Source organism: Homo sapiens, chromosome X (assembly GCF_000001405.40).
Source record: "Homo sapiens chromosome X, GRCh38.p14 Primary Assembly".
Lineage (NCBI taxonomy): Eukaryota > Metazoa > Chordata > Mammalia > Primates > Hominidae > Homo > Homo sapiens.
Genome location: NC_000023.11, coordinates 100405460 through 100431590, shown reverse-complemented (window position 1 = coordinate 100431590; position 26131 = coordinate 100405460). Strand labels below are relative to the sequence as shown.

At 45.8% G+C, this 26131-nt stretch overlaps 1 protein-coding gene across 3 annotated transcripts in view; it reads left to right on the top strand.

The window, feature by feature from the left end:
* The window catches only part of PCDH19 (protocadherin 19), a 118630-nt gene continuing 113816 nt past the window's right edge, over positions 21318-26131 (top strand). For all 3 annotated transcript variants that reach the window (NM_020766.3, NM_001105243.2, NM_001184880.2), the window contains exon 1: positions 21318-25140. In NM_020766.3, the coding sequence (NP_065817.2) occupies positions 22994-25140 (2147 nt within the window). In that variant the 5' untranslated portion in view covers positions 21318-22993. The remainder of the gene's footprint in view (positions 25141-26131) is intronic.

The following is a 26131-nucleotide window of genomic DNA, read 5'->3' as shown; positions in this document are numbered from 1 at the left end:
ACAGAGGAAAAAAAGAAATCCATGGGAGATGATGACATTGTGCAGTTGGGGAGCAAAGAAAGAGGAGTCGAAGAGAGAAGAGCTAAAAGAAGTGGACGTGTTATTGGAGTAAAAAGGCACTGAGGAAAATACTCTTCAGAGATCCCAGCATGAAGTGAGAATCCCAGGAGGCAAGAGAAGTAGAGAGGAAAGTGGAGGAGGTCGCGAGTACATGTGTGCACGACAAGAGACTTGTTTATTTCCCTTCAGTTTATTCTGTGGTTTGTTAATGAAGGCCCAGCAGCAGGAGATGTGCAGTCCATTTAGGAATGACAAGGACTGCTAATCCAGGATTTACCTATGCTTGCCGGCGGTGAAAGCCCCTGCTACTAAATTATTTCAAGTGAATGCACTGGCTCAGGTAGGGATCGAGTTGTCTCGCTGGGCCAAGTCTTTGAGTTAATGCTTCAGCGCATGACAGTGGAAGTAAAATCCTGAACTGGATTTCCATATTTGTCTAATATAGACTCAGGCAAGAGGCTGGGATGAAGATTGAAGTCCCTGTTTGTTTAAAAAGGCATGCAGAATTTCAACAAGGTTCATTTGCATGATTGAGTGACTGAAATGTGACCCCTAATCACACAGTGAGGTTGAATACACTTTGTACTGGCTTGTTTCAGAGAGGAAACTCTAACCTCTTTGGCATTAGCCTGTATAGAACTCACCCCTTACTGATCCTGTACTTTTTCCATCATCCTCAGTGAATCAAGAAATCTCAACTCCGAGCAACAGGAGGTTAAATACTGGTTGATGAGAATGTTTGTTTGCTTGGTTTCTCTGCTAATCTCAGTGCTGGGAGCAGGTGCCTGCTTGGCAGCTCTGGAGTCCTGGACCATCTCAGAAGAGCTACAGTTGTAAGTCTCCAATCCACAGCCTCTCCACAGGGTCTTTCTGCTTGGCAGACCTGCCATGGCCTGGTAAACAGGGCTCACCAGCTAGCATCTGCTCTCTGGAAACTAGTCTGAGAGTCTGGCCTCAGTTGCCCAACTAACTTGCTGTAAACAGACACAAGGCTTCTGGTAGGATCAACAGGAAAGTGCCTTTGTTTGTAGAAAGAATCATTAAACTGCAGACCCCCAGATTTTCATACCTTCTTCCTCAGACATCCTTTAACAATGCTCCCAAGCATCTCTTTACCATGTGCTTCATTCCTGGCCAGATTAACACCTAGAGGTTCTAAGCACTGAAAAATTTATAGTTCTTCCTTACTGATCCTGTACTTTTTCTATCATCCTCAGTGAATCAAGAAATCTCAACTCCTCAACTTACGTAATTCAAAACTGAAAATTATACTAAACTGTAAAATAAGTGTAGCAAGTCCAAAAATCTGATTTTCGACATCATGACTCTTTTACTTTTTAAATAGAAAATATAAAATTATTTTTAATTTTTTAGGTAAATTTGATAATCTAGTTATAGTAACAGGCTGACCCTAACAGGATCGGGGAGAGAGACTACTTCTGCAGAGAAACCTCTTGAACTCTGTATGCAGTGACTCCATATTCCAAATCTCACAACTTCTTTCTCTAACATATTTTAGAGACGTCTACACAAATATCTCCTTTCCAGGTGTTCAAGTCTGATCCCAGTAAGCCTATGTCATCATTCAAATTGGCTGTTTCTTTCTGGAAAGAACCAGATAAATCCCAATTGCAAAGACTGGTTTAAATAGTCTTAGCTGCCTGGTTCCCTCTTAATTCTTAATTAGAAATATCTGATCAGTCAAAGAAGAGGATCATTCTAACACCTCAAAGTGATCAAAATCACATCTTTTTTTGAAGATGTAGCTTGACACCCAGCTGTTGTTTGGGGAATGTCTACCAAAATTTTTGCTTGGCTGCCTAATTTTCATATGAAACAATTCTCCTTTCCTTTGAGCAAAACTATTACTGAGATGTAGATGGTTTGAGCTGAAAGAGAGGATGGATTTTCTCAGTCCTCTAGTGTGGCAGAACAACCCATCATTAAGTACACAGAAGGCCTAAGGGAAACTACTCAGGGATTAGCCCATAGGGGTATTTCTTGATTTGTTCTCTGTGTTGCTTTTCTTTTCATTTTAGTGGTGGTAAAAGTACTGCTGATGGGAGGTACACCTCTTTCCACAAGATCACATGCAACACCAACAACCAGCTTCAGTGAACCAAGTAGAAAACTATAAAGCCTCCAGCATAAGGAAACTATAACCAAGAACATTCTATTTATTCAACTTAACCTTAAGCTCATTGTTGATTAGCCTCAAATAATGATAAACTTACTGGTGTATTTCCATCTATGTATGATTCAGGGAAATTGAACAGGACTCAATATACTGTGTAATCACTTGCTAAATGAGTCTTGAATACACAGGGAGCTACCTGAAGCAGCCTGAGATTGGGTTTATCCTGGCCTTGGGTTTATATCTATGCTATGGGGACTAAGTGGCAGGTGTGTGTGCAGGAGGGTGTTTGGATGAATTCCTGTTCTGAAAAAACACTTCAAAGTGTGTGTTTCACTGATTGTGGCTCAGTAGGGTTGTTTCTATTTAAAGGACAGCACATTTTATTTTTCAAAAGTGGTTACCTCTGAAACATCTATTATTTATATTAAATAATGCAATATATATGATTGGTTTATGAAAACCCAGCCTACAGTTTTGTAGCATGTAATGGTGTTGCTTCCATTTCACTATCTCTCCTGCAAGAAGCAACCAACTGTATTTTGGAAGGGTAGAAAAACTACTTCCCCATCTTTCAAATTAGCTCTGGAATCACAAATGTGGGTACAAAATTCTACAAGTACAAATGGTTTTCCCAAAAGGAATATAATTGTGTCATAAACACGGCTAAAGCTATGATCGCCAATTTACTGATAAATTAACTAAGGCATGGGAAGATCCAGTGACATTCCCAGGTTTCGTGGATGGAATAGTGACCCTCCCACCCCCACCAAGTTTATATCCATCCAGAACCTGTAAATGGGACCTTATTTGGAAATAGGGTCTTTGCAAATATAATCAAGTCAAGATAAAGTCATACCGAATTAGGGTAGGCCCTAAATCCAGTGACTGGCATCCTTGCAAGGAAAGGGAGGTTTGGAGACAGAGAGACGTAGAGGCCATAAGGAAGAAGGCCATGTGACAACAGAGGTGGAGATTGGAGGGACACAGCTGCAAGCCAAGGAACATCAAGTACTATGGGCAACCACTAGAAGATAGGAAGGAAGCATGGAACAGAATCTTCCCTAGAGTCTTCAGAGGGAGCATGGCCCTGTAGACAACTTGATTTCAGACTCCTAGCCTCCTGAACTGTGAAAGAATAAATTTCTGCTGTTCTAAGCTGCCCAGTCTGTAGTAATTTGTTATGGAAGCCCTAAGAAACTAATATACCAGTGAGGCACAGATAGGGAATCCATAGGTTAGGTTTGGCTTTTCTGAACCCCTAATGCAGTGTTTGTTTTTCCAGGATACCTCAATGTCTCCCTGTGAGTACCCCCTTTTTCATCTATTCTCACTCTTCCCAGTAAAAATAAAAAATCATTATCTTTGGGATTTATGGCATTTTGTGTTTTAGGGTATTATAATTATAAGGAGGTAGGTGACAGATTGGACACCAGTAATGGGACAGCAGTATAAAAATCCCATAGATGTTGTCCACAGGCAAAATTTGCTGTATTGGACAATCTATGTCATGTGGAGAACATAGTCCTCCTCTCTGATTTCCCCCACTGAGATTGTCTCAAAACAGAGCTATAATGAGCACTAGCTATCTCCGCTGGCAACCTATGATATAATTATGATAATGATGATGCTAAACATTTATTACACACCCACAGTGCAAGGTGTTAGTTGTTCAAAACACATAAAATACCTGATCCCCACTGTCATAGTGTTTACCACAGTATTGGCACAGTGTGGGAGTTGATACTTTGTGGTCAGTTAATGTTGAGATGATCTGCTTGGATAATAGACCATAAACTTGCATCCTTCCTAATTTCTTTCTTTCTTTTTTTTTCTTTCTTTTTTATTTTTGAGATGGAGTCTCACTCTGTTGCCAGGCTGGAGTGCAGTGGCACAATCTCGGCTCACTGCAACCTCCGCCTTCCGGGTTCAAGCGATTCTCCTGCCTCAGCCTCCCGAATAGCTGGGACTACAGGCACACATCACCAAGCCTGGTAATTTTTGTATTTTTAGTAGAGACGGGGTTTCACCATGTTGGCCAGGAAGGTCTTGATCTCTTGACCTCGTGATCTGCCCACCTCGGCCTCCCAAAGTGCTGGGATTACAGGCGTGAGCCACTGCGCCCTGCCCTTCTGAATTTCTTTTGTAAACTCTTCTAATGTGCCAGTCCCCCATGATTACACTGAGCTTGAAGGAAACTAAATCCCAGACATTGGGATTTGATCACTTTGGGGTTTTAGAATGATCCCCTTTGACTAATCAGATTGATTTTTCTAATTAACGAAGAAACTAAATTCTGGTAGGATCTACAGGAAAGAGCCTTTCTAATTAACCAAAAAAACTAAATCCCAAACATTCCAGAGTTCACGAACTCTGGAATGTTTGGGATTGCCATAATCATCAAAATATTTCTAGTATACTTTTCTCCCCAGTTGACTGATGAGTAAACTGAGATGTGAGCAGATTAAGTGACATTCCCAGGTGTAGTGGGTTGAATAGTGCCCCTGCACCCCCAATTCATGTTCACCCAGAACCTGTGAATGTGACCTTATTTAGAAATAAGGTCTTCACAGATGTAATCAAATTAGGATGAGGTCATACCAGATCACATATATTGTTTGGGTTGTTCTGAATTAGTGGAGTTTTCATGGGTTTCTCTGAATCTAGATTTACTTGCTATGGATCCTTGAATCTAATAGCAGTCCTGTTATTACGAAGAGCTGGTGATGGTCTGAGAACCATATATCTTAGAGTTGGAAGAGACTTCATGATATCATGGTAAGCCACCTGCTTTAGGGCAACTAAGCTACCATTATTTCCATTTACAGGTGAAATCGTTGAAGACAATTCCAGCGATCAAATAAAGATAACACATTTGGTTAGTAGCAGATAATAATATCCAACATTTTAAGTGTTTTCCATGTGTCAGGCATTGTTTTTAGTGTATAGTTCATTTAATTTCCAGAACCTTATGAAGTAGGTATCATTATTATCCTGTTTTAAAGAAGAGAAAACAGAGACAGAAAGGTTAACTAACTTGCCCAAGGCAGTACTGCTAGTAAGTTATCAGAACCAGGTATCTGCACCTTAGTGTAGATACTACTGTGAACCCAGAAAGTCTGATTCCCAAGCCTAAGTATTTAGTCACCATGTTATATCATTTAGTGGTCAGAATAAGAATCAAATTCTCCTCTCCTGGTGGTTTAGTGAAGTGGTTCCTAGCTATTTTCAGGGCCTATGAATCTCTCTCTCTATATATATTCCAAGCATTATCTGTAGACTAAAAACATTAATGTGATCAACAAATATTATTACATGAATATTAGTGTTTGAGTAAGTAAACTATAAATTCCTTCAAAAGCATTAATGAATTGGCTGGACATGGTGGCTTACGCCTGTAATCCCAGCACTTTGGGAGGCCAAGGTGGGTGGATCACTTGAAGTCAGGAGTTCAAGACCAGCCTGGCCAACATGGTGAAACGCTGTCTCTACCAAAAATACAAAAATTAGCCAGTCGTGGTGGCAGGCACCTGTAATCCTAGCTACTCGGGAGGCTGAGGCAGGAGAATCACTTGAACCTGGGAGGTGGAGGTTGTCGTGAGCCAGGATTGCACCACTGCACTGCAGCCTGGGTGACAGAGACAGACTTTATCTCAAAAATAAATAAAAGCATTAATGAATTAAAATTGGCTTCTTGTCATGATTCATTTTATTAAACCAGGGGCTAAAAAAAGAACAACAACCCTTTTGTGGGAGTCTGAAATATTTTGAACTATTTCAGGGGTCCTTATATTCATGAAGATTGGGAATCACAGGTGTCTTAGTCAATTAAGGCAGCTAAAGCAACATAGGACAGACTGGGTGGTTTACAGAACAAATATTTATTGCTGATAGTTCTGGAGGCTGGGAAGTCCTGGATCAAGGAACTGGCAGATTCAGTGTCTGGTGAGGGCTCCGTTCCTGATTTGCAGATGGCTGACTTCTTTTTGTCCTCTAATGGCAGAGAGACAGATCACATCTCTCATGTCTCTTCTTATAAGGGCGCTAATCCCATCATTAGGGCTCCACCCGTAATTACCTCACAAAATTCTCACCTCTGAATACCATCACATTGGGATTAGGGTTCCAACATGTAAATTTCGGGAAGACACAAACATTCAGGCCATAGCAACAGGTATAGGAAAAAGAGCTGAATTTGGAGTCAGACAGACTTGGGTTTGCGTCTTGGCTTCTGTTTACTTCCTAGCTGAGAGATCTTGGGCAAGTCCCTTAATCATCTGAGCTTCAGTTTCCTCATCTGCAAAACGGTGTTGTTGGGAGTCTCAGATGTAGCAGTGTGTGTGAGAATATTTTGTAAAACAAAAACCCATAGAATTCCTTAGGAATAAGAACTATAATGACTATTATTCCTCTATAATACTCAAGGAATCAATTTTAGTCCTGAATATGTCCTTATGTCAATTTTGCCTGTGGCCTTTTTGTACACCTTTCTTTACCTTTGTCATTACTGTGATACCAAGCTGAGGGAATAGGTCAATTTACAAGAAAATAATATCCATCCCTGGCATGAGTTGTCTCCACTTTCCAGTCATGCCTGGAATAGCACATCCTTTGTAAGATGAGGACTTTGGGTGGTAAAGAGGAAAAGAAGATGGCATTTCAGCTCTTCTGTAGCTTTGACTTCATCCAACCACTTTGAGTAGATCAAAGCTATTCTGGGAGGCCCGACATCATTTTTTTTTTCTAGGCTGAGAACTAGAGATGGAAGAATGTAGCCCAGCCAAAGAAAGGAACTGTTCTGTCTTTCTCCCACATTTCTCTCCTTTCCCAGCCTTCCAATCTCTGTTGGGGGCACTATTTTTTGAAGCAGAAACCTACAAAAGGACAGACAAGATCCATCGTTGGCCTTCTGAGTGGCATGGAAACGTTCTGGGGCCTATTTTGTGCAGATAACATGGTGAAGTAGCCAGCCAGGATACTCCTGTCAGTGGATCCAAGGGCTTCAGTGGAATTGTGTCTGAACAGCAGGGACAAGCTTGAGGGAACCTCAGTTACAGCCCTAGTCTGACTTGGTCATCTGCTGTGACTTTATGTTTCTGCTTTGATTCCAGCCATTTGTAACTGCTGAGTTGCTCCAAGGCTTAGCATGAAATAGCCTCAGCTTCTGGAGCTAGAGCTGTGCCGCCACCACCTGGGGTTGGGGAGTATTTCAGCAGCTATCGTCCTTACCTCACTCTTAGCAGTCATTCATTTACAGAAAGAATGCTGAATTTATTCTCTTGTCCGAGAAAAATCCTTTTCTCCGGAAGCTTCCTGATTCTTTGGGGAGTGCTTGATATGGAATAGGGTTTGGTTTCTGGGCTACTGATGAAATTTACAAGGTTGGCAGTGATGAATCTTTAAACAGGTTTCTTGTACTCTACCAGCCACAGCTATCCATTATGATTAATAAAACAGTGCATTAGTAACCTAGGTCTGACCAGTGGTAAGGCATGATTAATCTTGCGGCCCAACTGCACTCCAACTGTCTTTGTTAACCTCTTGTCTGAGGACATATAGCTATCAACAGAGACTGAGGATCTCCTTGTTAATTACACTATATATACTATATGCTATATATGCTTTATGAGACCTAAGAAGTTTTGGAAAGCTGGTTGGCTGCTCTGTCTTCCTAATACCAACCTGTGCTGAGAACCTTGCTATTTATCTCCTTGGTTTCATCTGCACTGCTAGTTCCTGGTTTGGGACAACCACAGATTATTTTCATGGCAGACTTGAATTGTGAGTCTTGGCAGAAGACAAAGGTGAACTTCGCTGCTTGATCTGCTACGATCTTTGTGCTAAAGGAGAGAGTAGGAATTACCTTTTTATTTTTATTTATTTATTTTTATTTTTAGTAGAGACAAGGTCTCACTTTGCTGCACAGGCTGGTCTTAAACTCCCGGGCTCAAGCAATCCTCTCACCTTGGCCTCCCCAAGTCCTGGGATTACAGGCATGAGTCACCATGCCTGTCTGGGATTACCTTTTTATAGATAAGTGAAACCTAGTGTAAGATGGGTAAGTTTTTATCTTAGTCTGTTCAAATACCAGGTAGAAAAGGGCAGGGCCCCTGGCAAGGGTTTCACCCTCAAGCCTGGGCCCACTGCCCTAAATGAGAACTTCACATCCCTGTTTTTCTGCCTGAATGTTGCCTTTTGGCCCACCAGGTCCCCCAACCCTGTACCCATAAAAACCCCAAGCTCCACTGGCAGAGGAGCAGAGTGGCATGGCAGAGAAGGAGAGAAAAGAAGCATCTGAACGTCAAGAGGAGTTTGGCCAGGGACAGTCAGAGAGGAGCTTCCCACTCCATTCCCTTTCTAGCTCCCCACCCCACTGAGAGACCTCTATCACTCAATAAAATCCTCCACATGCACCACACTTACACCTTACACCTGAGCTGTTTAACACTTAAGCTGTCCACAGATGGCAAAGCTAAAATAGCATTGTTTGTAACTCACACCCTCTGGGGCTCCAGTGGTTGTGTGCAACCTCTAGACACTGCTGCAGGCTGGTTGTCACCCAAAGGCACTCACCCTGGCTCCTGCACCTGCTCACCTACATGCTCCCCCTCCTGCAAGGGGTTTGAGCTTGGAGGCTGAGTAAACGAGTCACACCCCTGTTGCAATTCCTGTGAAGGGGTCAAGAGAACTCTCCTGTCTCACTGTTATAACAAAATATCACAGATTGGGTAATTTATAAATAATAGAAATTTATTTCTCACAGTTCTGGGGGCTGGGAAGTCCAAGATCAAGGTGCTGGTAGGTTCAGTGTCTGTGAAGCAGTGAGGGCTGCTCTCTGCTTCCAAGATGGTACCTTGTTGCTGTGTTCTCTGGAGGGGAAGAATGCTGTGTATTCACATGGTAGAAGGGATGCTAAAGGAAAAAAGAACTAGCTAATTCCCTCCAGCCTTTTATAAGGTTGCTAATACCATTTATGAGGGTTCTTCTCTCATGACTTAATCACCCCCTCCTAAAGGCTCCACTTCTTAATACTCTCACATTGGAATTTAAGTTCTAGCATATGAATTTTGGAGGGATGCATACATTCAAACCATGTACGGCCTTCTGAACTTTGTAATTGGTCCATGTGTCAGGCCTAAAACAAGTGTGTGGAGAGCACCAAGAGAGCTATCATTTGCTGAATTCACTTTTAAAGTCAGGCTTGCTTTGTGTTCACATGAAAGAGGTTAGTTGGTAGTGTTGGTCATCTGGCTGCTCTGAGACACACATTTAATTTTCATTATGCCAAGGAAAGACCTAAAGAGAGGTAAGTTACAAGCGTGGAACACACCACACCTCTTGTGCAGTCATAAGATCTGACAGAAGTAGAAATTGTAGGAATACACAGGAGAGTTCTGTTCCAAGACATTCAGTTCCCAAGAAAATGCAAATCATTGCAATACATAGTTTTACAGTTATACTGTCAGAGTTCTCAGAATTAATCATTTTCATTTCTAGCACTAAGTCTGATACTAACCTCTGCTCTCCTTACACTGTCTTTTCCTTACACTGTGTAACCTTTTGGAAAAGCACTTATTGCTTTTACCAAAACCTTCTTGGTCTAATCTCCAGGAAATATCTTGAAGAAAATTAGGTTTATTTGACAGGCTATATATTGGCATTTAGTGAATTCTTATCAATGTAGACTGCCTTAGATGGTCTTTACGTTTCATATTAAATGTGACATTCTCAGAGAGGCCTTCCTTGACTATGTGCTGTAAAGTTGGTTGCTCCAACCTCTTTTTTTTTGGTATAGTGGTTAAGAAAACATGCTCCAGAGCCAGGCATTACTTCCCTGGTTCTGTCCACCACTAGCTATGTTACCCAAGGCAAGTTACTTTCACCTCTCTACATTTCAGTTTCCTCACCTCTAAAACAGGCGTAATAATAGTATGTACTTCAAAGGGTTATCATGAGGATTCGTGATGGTGCATAAAGCACTCAGAACAGTGCCTATCACCATTATCATTATAATTTGAGCCTGTGTTGTGTCTTTCATGTCATTTATTATGAATTGAAATTGTTGTAGGTGTCAGTTTTTCTGGTTTTTTTTTTTTTGTCTCTTTCACTGTTCTGAAAGTTGCATGAGGGCAGAAACCATGGTCGTCTTGTTCATTCTTCTTTCCCCAGTGCCTAGCACAGTGCTTAGCTCACAGCAAGAACTCAATAAATACTTGCCAAGTGAATGAATGATAATTTAAGAAAATTTCCCTAAACAACTCAAATATTATAAATCTCATTACCCCAAGCTCCCATTGCCATAAAATCTCTTTATAACAAAAAGACTCCTAGATACAAATCAATGAAGCATTTTGTTTTAAGGAATATTTGCTATAAACAAAATGCCAGGGCAACACATTCCAAACAGTTTTCCATGTCAGCCCTTCTTTTTCACCAGTGCCTTTGCTTTCTCCAGCTATTGACAGCTAGATCTACTAATGGGACCTACCCCTAGGCTTGGACCCAAATCCTGTCAATCATCCAAGCTATTGATGATGTAGACTAGGGTACCAAAATTATAAAGGTAGAAACATGTTAAATAATTGAAGTGTTGGCCGGGCACGGTGGCTCACGCCTGTAATCCCAGCACTTTGGGAGGCTGAGTCCAGCAGATCACAAGGTCAGGCGATTGAGACCATCCTGGCTAACATGGTGAAACCCTGTCTCTACTAAAAATACAAAAAAATTAGCAGGGCATGGTGGCGGGTACCTGTAATCCCAGCTACTCAGGAGGCTGAGGCAAAAAAAAAAAAAAAAAAAAATTGAAGTGTTGTGTATACTGTAAAGATCCCTTACCCTAGCATGAAGTGTGTTAGAGATGAACCCTGGGTGTTTGTGTAGCCTCCAAGTCATAAATCTTGCCACTGCACCCTCTGTCACAGATGGCCAGATGTCCTAGAACCAGCAAAGACTCCACCTGTGCTTGTTGACTGAAATTTTCTGTTGACATATCCTATCTTCTGCTTCCATGCAGCATTTTGGGACTTGATGAATTCCTTGAACACAATGCCTTGGACACCCAGCTGCTATTGCTGATACCAGCCTCCTCTACTTACAATAGCCCCATCTCAGTGTTCCTACCCATTTTTAGCAGCCCTTGCTTCTGAGCTCACTCTAGTTATATTGCTTTGGTAAATGCTGTACTGGAATTTGACTTGTGTAAGAATTAGTGACGTAACCTAAAATGTGGGCAAAGTGGAGGAAGGTTGAAGAAGCCAACCTGACATTATTTTGAAATTTAAAAAATCACAAATCATAAAAATGACATTAGTTATTCCCTATTACAAAAGCCTTGGATGACTTCCCTGACCTTAATAAGGTTCTAATCCTTCAATCTAGCAATCAAGGCTCTACACAATAGCCTCTACCTACCTCTCTAATCTCAACTCCCATTATTCTACTCTATAATCCTTCCACGAGATCCTTGAGGGCACAGGATTTCTCTTCTTTAGTAGCAGACTGGCACCTTGAATTGTATCTGGCACTTTGTGGTGTTCAGAAAATGTAACAACTAAAAATTATTGAGTTCTTTATTCTGTGCTAGGCATGTAAAACATGAAGTACTTTATAGGTACCATTTCCCTTTGCAGGCATCATCTCATGTTATACCACAACTTTATAAAACAGACATTATAATATTTTCTCAAAGTCAGTCAACTAGGGAAATGGTAAAACCAGGACTTCAACTCAGATCCATTTAGCCCCAGAGCCTGTGCCCTTAATAACTACAACAAAGCACTTCAATCGTGTTTGTGGAGTAAGTGCTTGAGCCAAATTGCACTCTTCATTGTTTTCCTAACACACCTTACTGAAGCTTATATGCCTTTGCAAACACCCTTTCCCTCACCTGAAAGGCCTCCCACAGCTTCTAGGTCATCAGTCACCCCTTTGTAACTTGGGTTATACCAACATTGAGCACTGCTGTTCCGACACCTGAAAAATACATCCTTGTATTTTTAGTTCTCCTTTTATGATATCCACAGCTAGACTGTAAGCAATTGGAGGGCACAATACATGCTTCACACTATTATGCATTCTCAGTCTTATGCATCAAGTGTAGGCAATCAATTAATATTTTCTGAGAAAGCAATTAATATTTCCTGTTGGCTTAAAATGGAGACAAAAACTGAAGTTAGGTTCATGAATAATTACAAGAGATCTATATTACATAAAGATGTATCAAAACATGACAGTCCTTTTATGTGCAAATATTAGTTACTGGAATAAGAAATTGAAAGAACAAAGAAGAAATAGATAGTCATCATCATAACCACCATCCTTAGAAATAAATCTGCTTCAGAGGTTGAATTATCCTGTTATGTCTACTGTCTATTTTAGACGGATCCATGGGAACTTCCAGAAACCAGAAATCAGTTGCTTAGGCTGGACATAATTATTTTGCATTTATGGAATAATTTACATTTATAAAACTGCTTTACAATCATTTTAATGTTCACTGGAGATCAAACAAGACTGAACAGGAAACCTAGGAGGGTCTTCAAAGGCTTCCTGATGATCAGGGACTGCCTATGGTAGGAAATCTTTGGTTAAACTCTACGTGGAGCTCCTTTTCTCAAGAGAGGATCAGATTTCATTGATCTCCATGTTCCAAAGCAGTTCATGAACCCTGCTCTTCTGGATGTGTGACAGCTATTTATTTCTCAGGGAAAAGGGAACTAAATTAAGCATCTTTATTTTACTCTCCTTGGCTAAAAAAATCTAATGCTATATTAGAACAGGTTAATGGTCCACTAAGTAATATTCAGAGCCCCGAGTTATAAAGAAAGGGAGGCCCATGCATGAATCTCTTGAAATGTACAATAAAAGATATGAAATTAAGTGTTGTGAATTCTCTTTTAACACTTGCAGGTGATTACTGCTGCTGGGGTTTTAATATGGTGGTTTCACAGACTATGAGATCAAGTTTGTTGTTCTATTACAAATAACTATATGACTTCCTATCCTCTCTACATTAGGAATAGAGGTCTGGGGAAGATGTCTTCATATACATTGCATTGAAGAAAAACTTTCTATTTCTTTTTCCAGATTACCCTGATCTCTGCTATAGAGCAAGCAATTTGATTACCTTGCTAGCGTTCACTTATATTGCATGACTAACAACATTATTAATAGCTAAAAAATTATTCGGGTCCTTAAAGATGCAGTCACTATTCTTCTCTCAAAGGTCTCTAACAGCAGGAAATTCTAGGCTGATTTTAAATGTGTTTTCCATTAATTTAATCAAGCCAACTTTTGCTCCCCTGCAACGGCACCAAGAATGAGAAGGGCTTGCCTGTGTCTTTCACTGCATCCTCCATGGATGGAAGAAATCAGGCCTGGCTTTTCTTGCTTCACATCTTGAGGCTGAGTCTGTCTTTTCCACTTTACCGTTTCTTCCTGAATGACCCTGTTCTTGACCCTAAGCATGCAATCTGAGCTCTGAATGGGGGTGGAGTGGGGGGAGGATGTTCTGGAGCTCAGCAGATGGATCCCAAGAGCACAATGGCTTACCAGCCCTTCTGTGATTGTTGCCAAAACGCCTTCCTGTTTTCAAAATTGTCTCGCCCCCTGCTCCTTTGTTTTGCTCTGCTAGGAGACTGCAGTTCTGATTTTGCTAGGAACCAAATCTGCTGTTTCAAGGAAATGCAGCTGCTTGCTTTGGTGGGTGGCTTGAAAGAGGGAATTTTTCTATCCTCCCTCCATAACCTCCTTCCCACCCCACCCCCACGTGAACTCCACTGGCTCATCATCTCATGAAGCATTGATTTTAGAAGCTGACTATTTGCTTTTGATTGTTTGGCTGGGGCTGCAACAAAGTCATTGATGGATCTCATTTTGAGCTATCATTCTGTCCACTCTCTTCAGTCAGGCTTCCAGAACTGATTGCCTGTTCTCCCAAATGAAACTGCACAGCCAGACAGCGAGGCTTTCTCAAGTTCCACCATTTCCCCGGGCAGAGAACACGCAGAGCTGCACAGGCCTCAAACTGGCCTCACTGTCCTCTATGACTATTAGTTTTCTTACTAACCCATCAGTAGGTACAAGACTTAATTTGATCACTGCTGCCTAGGTTGCTGTCTCTGGGTGGATATGGCCTGCTACTGATGTCACTGCATTTTGTGATCTTTGCTAAAAGAGATCAGCCAAGCTCAGCCCAGCTGGTATCTCCTGTGACACAGGACACTCTCCCTAACCCTCTCAACTCCCAGCTTTTGGAAGAAAGGTCATTGGTCCTCTATGGCCATTCTGGCTTCAGCCCGGAGACAACAGACACAAATTAATAGGCTTTCCCCCAAATCCAGTGCACCAATATGCAAACTCTTGGACCCCAAAACAGGATGTTTTCCCAGCTGGCAAGTCATTGTTTTCTTCTCATTCGAAAAAAGGTACATAACTTCCATGCTGCTAAAATGATTTTTCTGTCACTTCTGCTCTATCTGTCCCCTTTGTGGTGCTCTCTCTGCCTCCTTCTGGGATCTCCTTCTTTCAGTTTACTCTCCACTGCCCCAGGGCTTGTCAACCTGAACAGATACTGTGCCTTGTGCTGTTAGTGGCATACGTGACATGCCTTTGGTACTTTTATTGCTAGCCCAGGTAATGTAACTGCAGCTGTCAAACTGGCAGTTCTTTATGTTTATTAGTTTTCTTCTTTCCCTTTTAAGCTGACATTAGCCAAGTAGCAAGTTTCCTAGTTCAGTGAAAAATCAGTTGGTGGAGCAGCTGGAACTCCCAGGAGCTATGCTAGGCCTCTCCTGAGTTCTAGGAGAAACTTGGGAGGAACCAAGAGCAAATCTAGGCCCAGCCTGGTCACTTAGAACTAAAGAGTATACAATAGATTTGGTGCCTCACAGAGATCATCTTTTGCCCAAGATACCAAGAGAAGCCCAGGAAACTGGCTCATCAGACTGACTTTTGTATTCTTCTTCTGGCTATTATTGTTCATTTGAACTTAATGCAACAGGGTACTGTAGTGTGGAGTTCACAAACTCACCTCAGCTCCAGTACCGTATATCTCAAGGTCTTGAAAGATCTGGTTTGTTTTCTCCAATCTTGTGGGTATCTCCAGAAAGAACTCAGCCTCCTGTAAGATCAAGCAACCAGACAGATATTTATTTTTATTTTTTAATTTGGAAAGCTGATCTTCAGGGCATATCCTATAAGGCTGATATTTCGGCCAGGGCTCTTTCAGCCTCAACCATTCCTTTCAGTGATAGTTCTGCTTCCTTTCTTGCCCCACTTGTACTGCTTCAGAAATAGCAGAAGAGACTGTGATAGAAGCCTAGGGTGGGAATCAAAAGCCAAGCCCTAATCAGGAGCTCCAGTCTGAGGAAATTACACAAGGTATAAGGTGCCTGGGATCTACCTACTAGGTTGCAGTGTTAGAGGCTGGGGACAGCAACACACACACACACACACACACACACAAAAAGGCTTGGCCTTGGCCTAAAACAGTGCATCCCAAGTGAAAGTCTGCTCACTTTCAATTACGTATTCTTTGTATCGTTGTGGTTCATATTTCGGTGGTTTTTGAGGTCTCCAATTTGGTGATAGTTTTTTTTTTTTTCAAGCTGTCAAAAAAGCATTTCCTCTGGGGAGCTGTGGAATGTCACCCTTACCCTCCTCCTTGGGATGAGGGAGTCAGCAGTGGGAAGGCTGGCCATGATTTAATCAGAGTGCCTTTGAAGGGAGAGCTTTCTGTTTTCAAAAGTGGTGATGTGGGGAGTAACAGCTGACATGAGGTTGCACCTAGGAAACCAGCATTTGGGGTCCACTTGGAGAAAATTCACATGAAAAGATTGAGGCAATAATGCTGAGAGCCCAAATGGTGCTGTCAAAACATCACAGGTGATCACTGCAGGGCAGTACAAAAGGTGTTAGAGAGCAGTGTCATTTATTGAAATGTATCTGCTGATTTAGCCTTTGCTAATTAAATAGTCCCCATGACGTGTGCTTATTTAGGGACAGTTACGAGTTTGGCAGCAGCAGGGGTTTGGTCCTGTGGGAAGTGCCATTCCTAAAGGGAGGGGATAAGGCATGGAGGAAGTTTGGACATAGCTTGTTCAAGGATGCTGGCCTTGTCAAAATGGGAAGACATGAAGTGATTAATAACTTTCTCAGTCTCTTTTTCTCCACTGTCCCGCACATCTCTTGTGTTTCTTGGAAAAGGCAGGCATCGGGGCCATGGTGAACAATTTTAGCACTTAAGAAACACTTTCTCTACTTTGTTTATCTGCTACAGCTCCCTGCTGTTAATGTTATCCTCTGTCACAGGGTAGGAAAAGGGGTGGAGTTTGAGAGGAAGAGAGGGAAAAGTGTGAGGGACCTCAAAGGTTTTTCTTGGCCTCTGTCCTAGTCTTCTTGGTGTTCCAGAAGGGTTAGAAACAGCATCCAGGATAACCCCACCCCTGCCCAGCAGGTCCACATCCCTGATTGCTGCTGTTGATGCCTTTCCTTATACTGTCTGGGACAGTGGCGGGGGAGGCAGGAAGGGAGGGAAGGACTATCTAGAAATCGGGCAATCATTGTGGGCAGAAGAGAACAGAATTTTAGGAAGCTGTCGACATAATATATCTCATCCTAGTTTCTCCTCTAGGAAAATTTATAGTACATAGACATACATGCTGTTATTAAATTAATCAACTGCATGTTAAACTACATAAGGGCAAGGTCCACTAAAAAAAATTCTCAATCCTTAACACAATGCTGGACAAAAAGCCAACACTTGTTGATCTCACGAGGGAAGTGGTTGAGTTTTGTGTAATGAGGTCGTCTTGGAAAATCGTTGAACTGCTCTGCAACTGTTTCCACATCTGCAAAGTGTCTTTATCTCCCAGGGATATTGTAAAAATTAAATAAGATGATGACTTTAATAATGACACTTTATAGTTTTTTTCCCATTTCCTCCATTTTCATTCTTTGATGTTCTCTTCTCTAGGCATTGTAACCTAAGTAAGGAGATCAGATATGCAGTCAGAAGAAGTTTGATTGAATTTGCTAATTTTAAAATCAATTTTTTCTTTCTAAGAGAACCTCATCAGGCAGCTGGTCAAACTAGTTGGGTGGAATGGGATCCCCATGATATGCAGTGAAAGCCAAGCTAGAAGATGACCCACTTTTCTGCAGCCAGGGCAAAGAGAAGGGGGCAAAAGGAAGGAGGAGGAGGAGGAGAGAAAGAGAGAGACTGGAGTTATTTGAAGGCTAATCTCTTTTGAGCTTAAAGCAAACATTAAAAAAAAAAAAACATATCTCAGGCTAGGGCACAGTAGCTTATGCCTGTAATCTTAGCACTTTGGGAGGCCAGGGGAGAAGGATTGCTTGAGGCCAGTTTGAGACCAGCCTGGACAACAGAGAGATACCCCATTTCTACAAAAAATAAAATGAAAAGAATGAGCCAGGTGTGACAGTGCACACCTGTATAATCCTAGCTACTCAGGAGGCTGAGGTGGTAGGATTGCTTGAGCCCTGGAGTTTGAGGTTACAGTGAGCCATGTCTGCAGCATTGCACTCTAGCCTGGGCGACAGAATGACACCTTGTCTCTAAAACAACAGAACAAAACAAACACATCTCAGAAAGCTTCCTTAAACTTGTCAGAGTTACAGTCCCTCATATACTGGTATCTTGGTTCCTACCATTACTTTTCACCTTTCTGGACAAAACCTTTCACCATACCCTTATCAATCTTAGGAGAACAAGAATTAGCTTCACATACTGGTTTGATCTAAAAGTAAGATTTCTCCCATTTTGGTCCTCTTTTATTGCCATTCAGCATGATTTTAGTGGCATGGATGACATTTTAAAGACAAAAAAAATTCTCTTTGCCAATTTTGATTCTGGCCTCAGTGGAGCTGCTTTGACCTGGAGAGCAGCCGTAGGCGGCATAGCACCATTAGTATTAGTATTTCTTAGTAGCTGTTGGATTAAAAAATACTGAGGATGGTCACTAGATGTCCCTCTTGTGTCTCTAAAGAGGCTGAGGAGGCGGGGCTCCCTTCAGGATTGAAGTAAAGGGAAGCTAAAACGGAGAGAACTTTCTTGTTTTTATTATCTACATGCAGAACGATTTTATTCAGTTAGTTAATAAATTCCTGATCATGAAAGTGTTTTGGGCTACTCATTTAGTCAATGGCATTCTTGGAGTATAATGATCGAGTGTGCCTATTAGAAAAAAAGAAATTCTGAGGGCAAAGGCTGTTGTTAGGATTATCTGTAGAAATAGACTGGGGGATGGAAGAGCTATTTTGTGTGTGGGGATGGGGAAGGCTGTGTAACTGTCACTTTGAGATTAGGGGTGGGGAGGAGATAATAGGAAAGAAGGAAAGCATAGGCACACGCCCCTGCCTCCCTTAGCACCTGGCTTGTGTAAAAGTGGTTTGGTAGCTGGAAGTACTTGGATGCTCTCCTTGGAAAAGAGGGGTGCCTGGAGTGTGAACAGCGAGCAGGAAGCAGGGAACACGGTGGCATCGCCTTAGCAAAGAGGGTTTGTCTTTGCAAATGCAGAACATGTCTTTACATTGTGATTGCAATTATGAAGGTAATGACATTGTACATGAATTGAATTCTCCTATTTATCTTTAAAAGACAGCAGAATATAGACATTCTATTAGCACTCCCTAAGGTAAGAGGTCTGCAGTCTTCTTATCTTGTTGTGTGCATCTTTTCAGATGCTACGACAATGTTAATCATTTTACCTGAGTAATTCTTCCATTTCTCGTTACCTGGGGGATTGTTAATGGCCGAGACTACTTCTCAGACTCTTTGCTCCCGCTCAATCAAGCCGTGGAGGCGCCAGTTTACTTTTATTGATCAGTGGGTTCCTGACAGCCTTCGCCACAAGGAAGCAGCATCATCCTTTTTTAACTTAAAGGGGGAACAGATCGCCTTAAAGTTTACAGCTAAAAGCTTCTAAGCATAGCATGCAAACATTTTAGCATGCTGCTAATTGTTCTGTTTAAATAGTCCAAGCAATATTTTAGAAAGCTGCCAAACGCCGAATTCACATCCCGTGATCAGATAGCAAACCCATTTCAAATGCCTTTTTAGGCCTTTTTAATTAGACCAAGATGCACTTCATTCCCATGCTCTGACATCAAAGGTAAATAACTGTGATAAATCAAATGGAACCCTTCCTTTCGCGGAGCCCGCGAGGTGCGCCCACCGCTGCCTGCCATGTTGTCATTCTCTACTACTTGCCCATTTCTCCAACGGTGTCTGGAGAAAACCGGTCGGGCCACCGGGCTCCCTTGAGCCACCACTCTGGTGTCCACCCGCAGCTCTAAATGACCAAAATTAAATGATACTCATTGCAGAAGCATCGGTTTTCTCCCTGTTGTTCTGGGCCGAATCACATCCTAACGTGAAACAGTGAAACGACCCCCACGCGGAAAGCGGATCAGGCTCCCTACGCTCTCCCTTTGGCCTCGGCTACATATTCAGGGGATCGCAATCTCACTCGCGAAATAATTTCTTTCTGTAAGAGGAAGCCGCCTTTCCCCTCTCCCACCGCCAAGGTAAAGGCTGCTAAAGTAGCTCTTCTTGGAAGGAAAAATATTTTAAAAAGCAGCTGGGTTGCTCTCCACAAGAAGATGGCAGTTTTGAGAAAACCCATTATGTGTCCAAATGCCGGTTTCCTTTTCTTGTTTAACGCTTTTTAGAGGGCAAAAATGACGCTCATGTGAAGCCCACAGGCTCGAGCCAATGTCGCTGGGCTAATTATGAGTCTGCTTATCCCACTCCCAAATATCCGAGACGACTCACTCAGAAGACATTTTTACTCTTCCAAGAATTGTGAATTCAGAAGCAGCTTCCCCACATTCTAAGAGAAAAAAAAACTTGTTTAACGGGCACGTTTTTGATTTTTTTGCCGCTGGCGACCTTAATTAAAAGCCTCAGAGCCCGGGTGGGGAGGAATGCCCCGCTGCCCCCAGGGAGCCTTCAGTGCAGAAGGCAGGATGAGCTTGATGTCAGCCCTGGCCACGCCGGCCTCCCGCTTCCCAGTACTGGCACATGCCGCAGCCACCACCGCCGCCCAAGTGGAGCTGGCAGCCCCCTGGGACCGAGACCCCGCGGGAAGGCTGGGGCGCCCTGCACATCGGCGCCGGCTCCCAGCTGTCGGCGACCTAAGCGGACATGTATGGCGTGCCCGCCCCAGAGCTCCTGCCCGGCTTTGAGCTCTGCTGGCTTGGCGCGGCGCGGCGGCGTCCGCTCCACCGGCTCTTCTCAAACGTACAGTTTATTTATAGGGAGCTAAATTCTCCAACAGGGTGGGGTGAGGGGCAATGAAATGTGTCCGGCCCCCTCCGTAGCTCATTCTCTGTGCCACATATCCCATTTGATTAACAAGCAACAGACAAGAGCGAACCGATCCAGGGGCCCTGCTGGGAGTGCGGCACGCAGAGAGTAGTGCGGCGTCTGCCCGGGGTGGAAGGATGGGGGTGACGGTCCGGGGGGGTGGCGGCCGTGGCTCTGGCCTGATGTGAAGACACACCGGCTAAGAGCTGGATGAATGACCACCTCAGGGGCGCTTTCTCCTTCCCTTTCTTCCTTCCACTACCAGAGAATGAGAAGAGAGGAAAACAAAAACAGACGATTTTTTAGGGTGAAGAGACAAGGAGAAATAGAGGGATATATATATGTGTGTATATATATATATATGTGTATATATATGTATATATTATATTCAAGATATGAAGATATGTAAGGGAGGTAAACACGATAAGACAATCATATCATCCTCATCTTTCCTGAAATCTCTGCAAACATGAGAAGCGCACAGTTCCCGGCGAGGCTCAGCCGCAGCGCCAGCACACCGCCTCCCTGCTCATTCCTGCCCTATTGCTCCTGCCTGGCCTGCCTGGCCTGTCTGTCCGTCCTCCCATGAATCCCGCCAGGGCTCCATGGGCCGGGGTACCACTTGGTCCCGCCGGTGTGAAGTTTCCGCTTGGCCCCGCCCCCCCGCTACCCCCCGCCTCCGCTTGGCCCCGCCCCAAGACTGGAGCCCGCTGGCGGCGCGCTGATTGGCCAGGGCCTGGCGTAGCCGGGCTCGGCAGCTTGAGCTTTCTCCGGCTTTCTCCAGACTCCGCGGCCAGTAGTTTGCGGCATCCGGAGGAGCAGCAGCAGCAGTAGCGGCGGCGGCTGGCGCAGCGCGGAGACGGACGAGCGGGCACAGACGGCAGCACAGCTCCCGTGCACCATGCCTGGCTTGCCCGGGAGGCACTGGCACCCGCGTCCCTAGCCCGGCGCTGGCCCTTGGCGCGTTGCGCTCCGCAGCATTCCGGCTGAGCGATTTCATCCGAAATCCTAAACCTCCTACCCCAAACCCATTGCCTCCTGCTTGCTCATACTCCACACTCACACTCCCCACACCACACACTCACTCTTCCTCTCTCTCTCACACATTCACACACAGCCCGAGACAGACAGAGAAAGCGAGACAGACCTCCCGAGTGCGCGAGCGCCCGGGAGGAAGGGAGCCCAACGCAGCGCGGCCAGCGCCTCTCCGGGAAGATGAAATCAAGACGCTCCTGCAAGTAAACTTCGGCGGCGACAAAATCGTCGACTGTGGCAGCTGCTGAGGCGGACCCCAGCGACGTGCAACTGAGCTAGGAGGGCTTCCTCCCGCGGCGGCGGCGGCGGCGGCGGCGGCGGCGGACCTTGGAGCGACACCCCAGCCCAAACGGAGAGAAGAGAAGCACCCGGTACCCACGGCGGCGGCCCCGCCTCTCCTGGCCGGTACTGTTGTTGCCTCCCCTTCCCTCTTCCCCATTCCCCGCCACCCCCGGCCATTAGAAAGACCGGGGCTTTGATTTTCTTGGACAAATTGCCATCTCCCCGTTTCCACAAACTTGACGTGGAGGGTCGGACTGCGTTGTTAACTTTGATTTCCTAGACGAAAACGCCCGCAGACCCTCAACTGCTCTGTGGGGGGAACTCCGCTCCCACCTCGGATCCTGGACAGACGCGCCCCCAAGCCCTTCGAAGCCAGCCTTAGCGCGAGGGAGCGCGCTCAAGCTCTGGCAGCCTCTCTCCCCTCCCCCTTCCTCTGCTGGCCCCGGGACCGCCATCCGACTCAACCCTATAACCGGGTGCCCGCGGCGCTTGCCAGTAACTGACTCCCGTCTGCGACACCCCCTTTCTCCCGAACAGGCCTCGAAGAGGCCAGTGTGGCCCCCCCAGACCCCGGAGGGCGCATTCCAAGCGGGTACTCTCTCCGCAGTGAACTGGGAGCGCTGGGGGGAGGTCTTTGCGCATGCCAGGTGCACAGACAGCGAGTTCGCCAGCCTCAGTGCCGGTGCACCGCGGCGGGCCGGGCAGTGCCTGAAAGGCTGCGCCTCCTCCGCCCTCTTTACCTTCGCCTCAAGTACTGTCCGGACTCAGCGGTGCGTCCTCCAGGCCGCGCAGACGCCGCCCGACCCGCAGCCCTGGGCGGCTGCCGACAGTCGCGCCCGGCTAACTTTGAAGGGGTAAAACTGAGTAGCCGGGCTGGAGGGAGGGGGCTCGGGGCCGCGCGGCGCTCCCTTGGCCCCTCGGAGCCCCCGGGGCCCCCGCGAGCCCCCGCCGCGTCCGCCGCAACCTCAGCATTGGAGCCGCCGCGGGTGTCCCCCGCGCGCCGCCGGGCCGCCCTGGGCGGGACTTCTCCCGCGGCCTCCGGGGCCACGGGGCGCGCGCAACAGGCGGCCCGAGCCGGCGGGAAGCTGGAGCGCCGACGGCGTCGGTCTCGGAGGGGTGTGGAGAGGCGAGGCCAGGCAGAGCCCCGTGCAGCCATGGAGTCGCTCCTGCTGCCGGTGCTGCTGCTGCTGGCCATACTGTGGACGCAGGCTGCCGCCCTCATTAATCTCAAGTACTCGGTAGAAGAGGAGCAGCGCGCCGGGACGGTGATTGCCAACGTGGCCAAAGACGCGCGAGAGGCGGGCTTCGCGCTGGACCCCCGGCAGGCTTCAGCCTTTCGCGTGGTGTCCAACTCGGCTCCACACCTAGTGGACATCAATCCCAGCTCTGGCCTGCTGGTCACCAAGCAGAAGATTGACCGTGATCTGCTGTGCCGCCAGAGCCCCAAGTGCATCATCTCGCTCGAGGTCATGTCCAGCTCAATGGAAATCTGCGTGATAAAGGTGGAGATCAAGGACCTGAACGACAATGCGCCCAGTTTCCCGGCAGCACAGATCGAGCTGGAGATCTCGGAGGCAGCCAGCCCTGGCACGCGCATCCCGCTGGACAGCGCTTACGATCCAGACTCAGGAAGCTTTGGCGTGCAGACTTACGAGCTCACGCCCAACGAGCTGTTCGGCCTGGAGATCAAGACGCGCGGCGACGGCTCCCGCTTTGCCGAACTCGTGGTGGAAAAGAGCCTGGACCGCGAGACGCAGTCGCACTACAGCTTCCGAATCACTGCGCTAGACGGTGGCGACCCGCCGCGCCTGGGCACCGTTGGCCTTAGTATCAAGGTGACCGACTCCAATGACAACAACCCGGTGTTTAGCGAGTCCACCTACGCGGTGAGCGTGCCAGAAAACTCGCCTCCCAACACACCCGTCATCCGCCTCAACGCCAGCGATCCAGACGAGGGCACCAACGGCCAGGTGGTCTACTCCTTCTATGGCTACGTCAACGACCGCACGCGCGAGCTCTTTCAGATCGACCCGCACAGTGGCCTGGTCACTGTCACTGGCGCTTTAGACTACGAAGAGGGGCACGTGTACGAACTGGACGTGCAGGCTAAGGACTTGGGGCCCAATTCCATCCCGGCACACTGCAAGGTCACCGTCAGCGTGCTGGACACCAATGACAATCCGCCGGTCATCAACCTGCTGTCAGTCAACAGTGAGCTTGTGGAGGTCAGCGAGAGCGCCCCCCCGGGCTACGTGATCGCCTTGGTGCGGGTGTCTGATCGCGACTCAGGCCTCAATGGACGTGTGCAGTGCCGTTTGCTGGGCAATGTGCCCTTTCGACTGCAGGAATATGAGAGCTTCTCCACTATTCTGGTGGACGGACGGCTGGACCGCGAGCAGCACGACCAATACAACCTCACAATTCAGGCACGCGACGGCGGCGTGCCCATGCTGCAGAGTGCCAAGTCCTTTACCGTGCTCATCACTGACGAAAATGACAACCACCCGCACTTTTCCAAGCCCTACTACCAGGTCATTGTGCAGGAGAACAACACGCCTGGCGCCTATCTGCTCTCTGTGTCTGCTCGCGACCCCGACCTGGGTCTCAACGGCAGTGTCTCCTACCAGATCGTGCCGTCGCAGGTGCGGGACATGCCTGTCTTCACCTATGTCTCCATCAATCCCAACTCAGGCGACATCTACGCGCTGCGATCCTTTAACCACGAGCAGACCAAGGCGTTCGAATTCAAGGTGCTGGCCAAGGACGGCGGCCTTCCCTCACTGCAAAGCAACGCTACGGTGCGGGTCATCATCCTCGACGTCAACGACAACACCCCGGTCATCACAGCCCCACCTCTGATTAACGGCACTGCCGAGGTCTACATACCCCGCAACTCTGGCATAGGCTACCTGGTGACTGTTGTCAAGGCAGAAGACTACGATGAGGGCGAAAATGGCCGAGTCACCTACGACATGACCGAGGGCGACCGCGGCTTCTTTGAAATAGACCAGGTCAATGGCGAAGTCAGAACCACCCGCACCTTCGGGGAGAGCTCCAAGTCCTCCTATGAGCTTATCGTGGTGGCTCACGACCACGGCAAGACATCTCTCTCTGCCTCTGCTCTCGTCCTAATCTACTTGTCCCCTGCTCTCGATGCCCAAGAGTCAATGGGCTCTGTGAACTTGTCCTTGATTTTCATTATTGCCCTGGGCTCCATTGCGGGCATCCTCTTTGTAACTATGATCTTCGTGGCAATCAAGTGCAAGCGAGACAACAAAGAGATCCGGACCTACAACTGCAGGTAAAGCCAAGTTTTCTTTCTTTGTCTTGGATGAATAAGGTGTGTTTATCTGTGTCTCTGTGTGAAAATCCTGGTGCTTTTGTTTCCTACTTAAATGCATGCAGCATACTTGCAGTGCTTCTTTTTGTAGGGTGAAAAGTTTGTGACAGTCCAAGTTGATCAATTCTTTTGATCTGACAATTTGCTGGAAGACAATCATTTAGTGTTTGAATGGATTCTGTCACATAATGATGGTGAGCAGAAACGCAATTATCATTTTAAAATTTGCATAGCTGTCTCCATGAAGTTATGGTAGGAAAAACAGAGAGAGAGAGAGGGAGGGGGAGAGAGAGAGAGATCATATTTTTAGGAAAACCACCAACTACCACAACTTGGTGTCTGGGGCACAGTGTTTTTGGGACAGGTACTGAATGAAAGGAGAGGGAGTGTTGGCAGCTACCCTGTCTTGTTGCAGTGATGAACTCTGGAGAGAGACTGGGAGTGGGAGTGTAAGATGGGAAAGGGAGATGAGGGGGAGGAGAGAACAGGAGTGTGTGGAGATGCAGGTGATTAGTGGTTTTTAGTTTATTCTTGGCTTGTTTTTTATCTAGTCCCCAAACATCTGGCTATATAAAGTGAAATTCTATCAGGCATCTGTATGTTTTCAAATATCTGGTTGGTTGGTAGTGTGGAGACCAAACATCCCAATGAGGAACAAGACTTTGCATCCAGATGTTTCAGTAAAAATAGCAATCTTCTAGAGTTGATGATGCTTTCCTCTAATGTGAGACTGTGTTGTGGCATTAAGATCTGGTTCCTACCAGTGGATGTCACTGTGGGCTATTGTGTTACAGTTTCTCTTGAAGTGTGTGAAGGATGTGTGTGTGTCTGTGTGTGTATGGGGGGGGGAGGGAGAGAGAGAGGGATAGAAGGGGGAGGAAAAGGGAGAAAAGAAGAAACACAGTATTTTTTAAAAAGATTTCCTGATAAGCACATTAGAAGGTCTTACTGA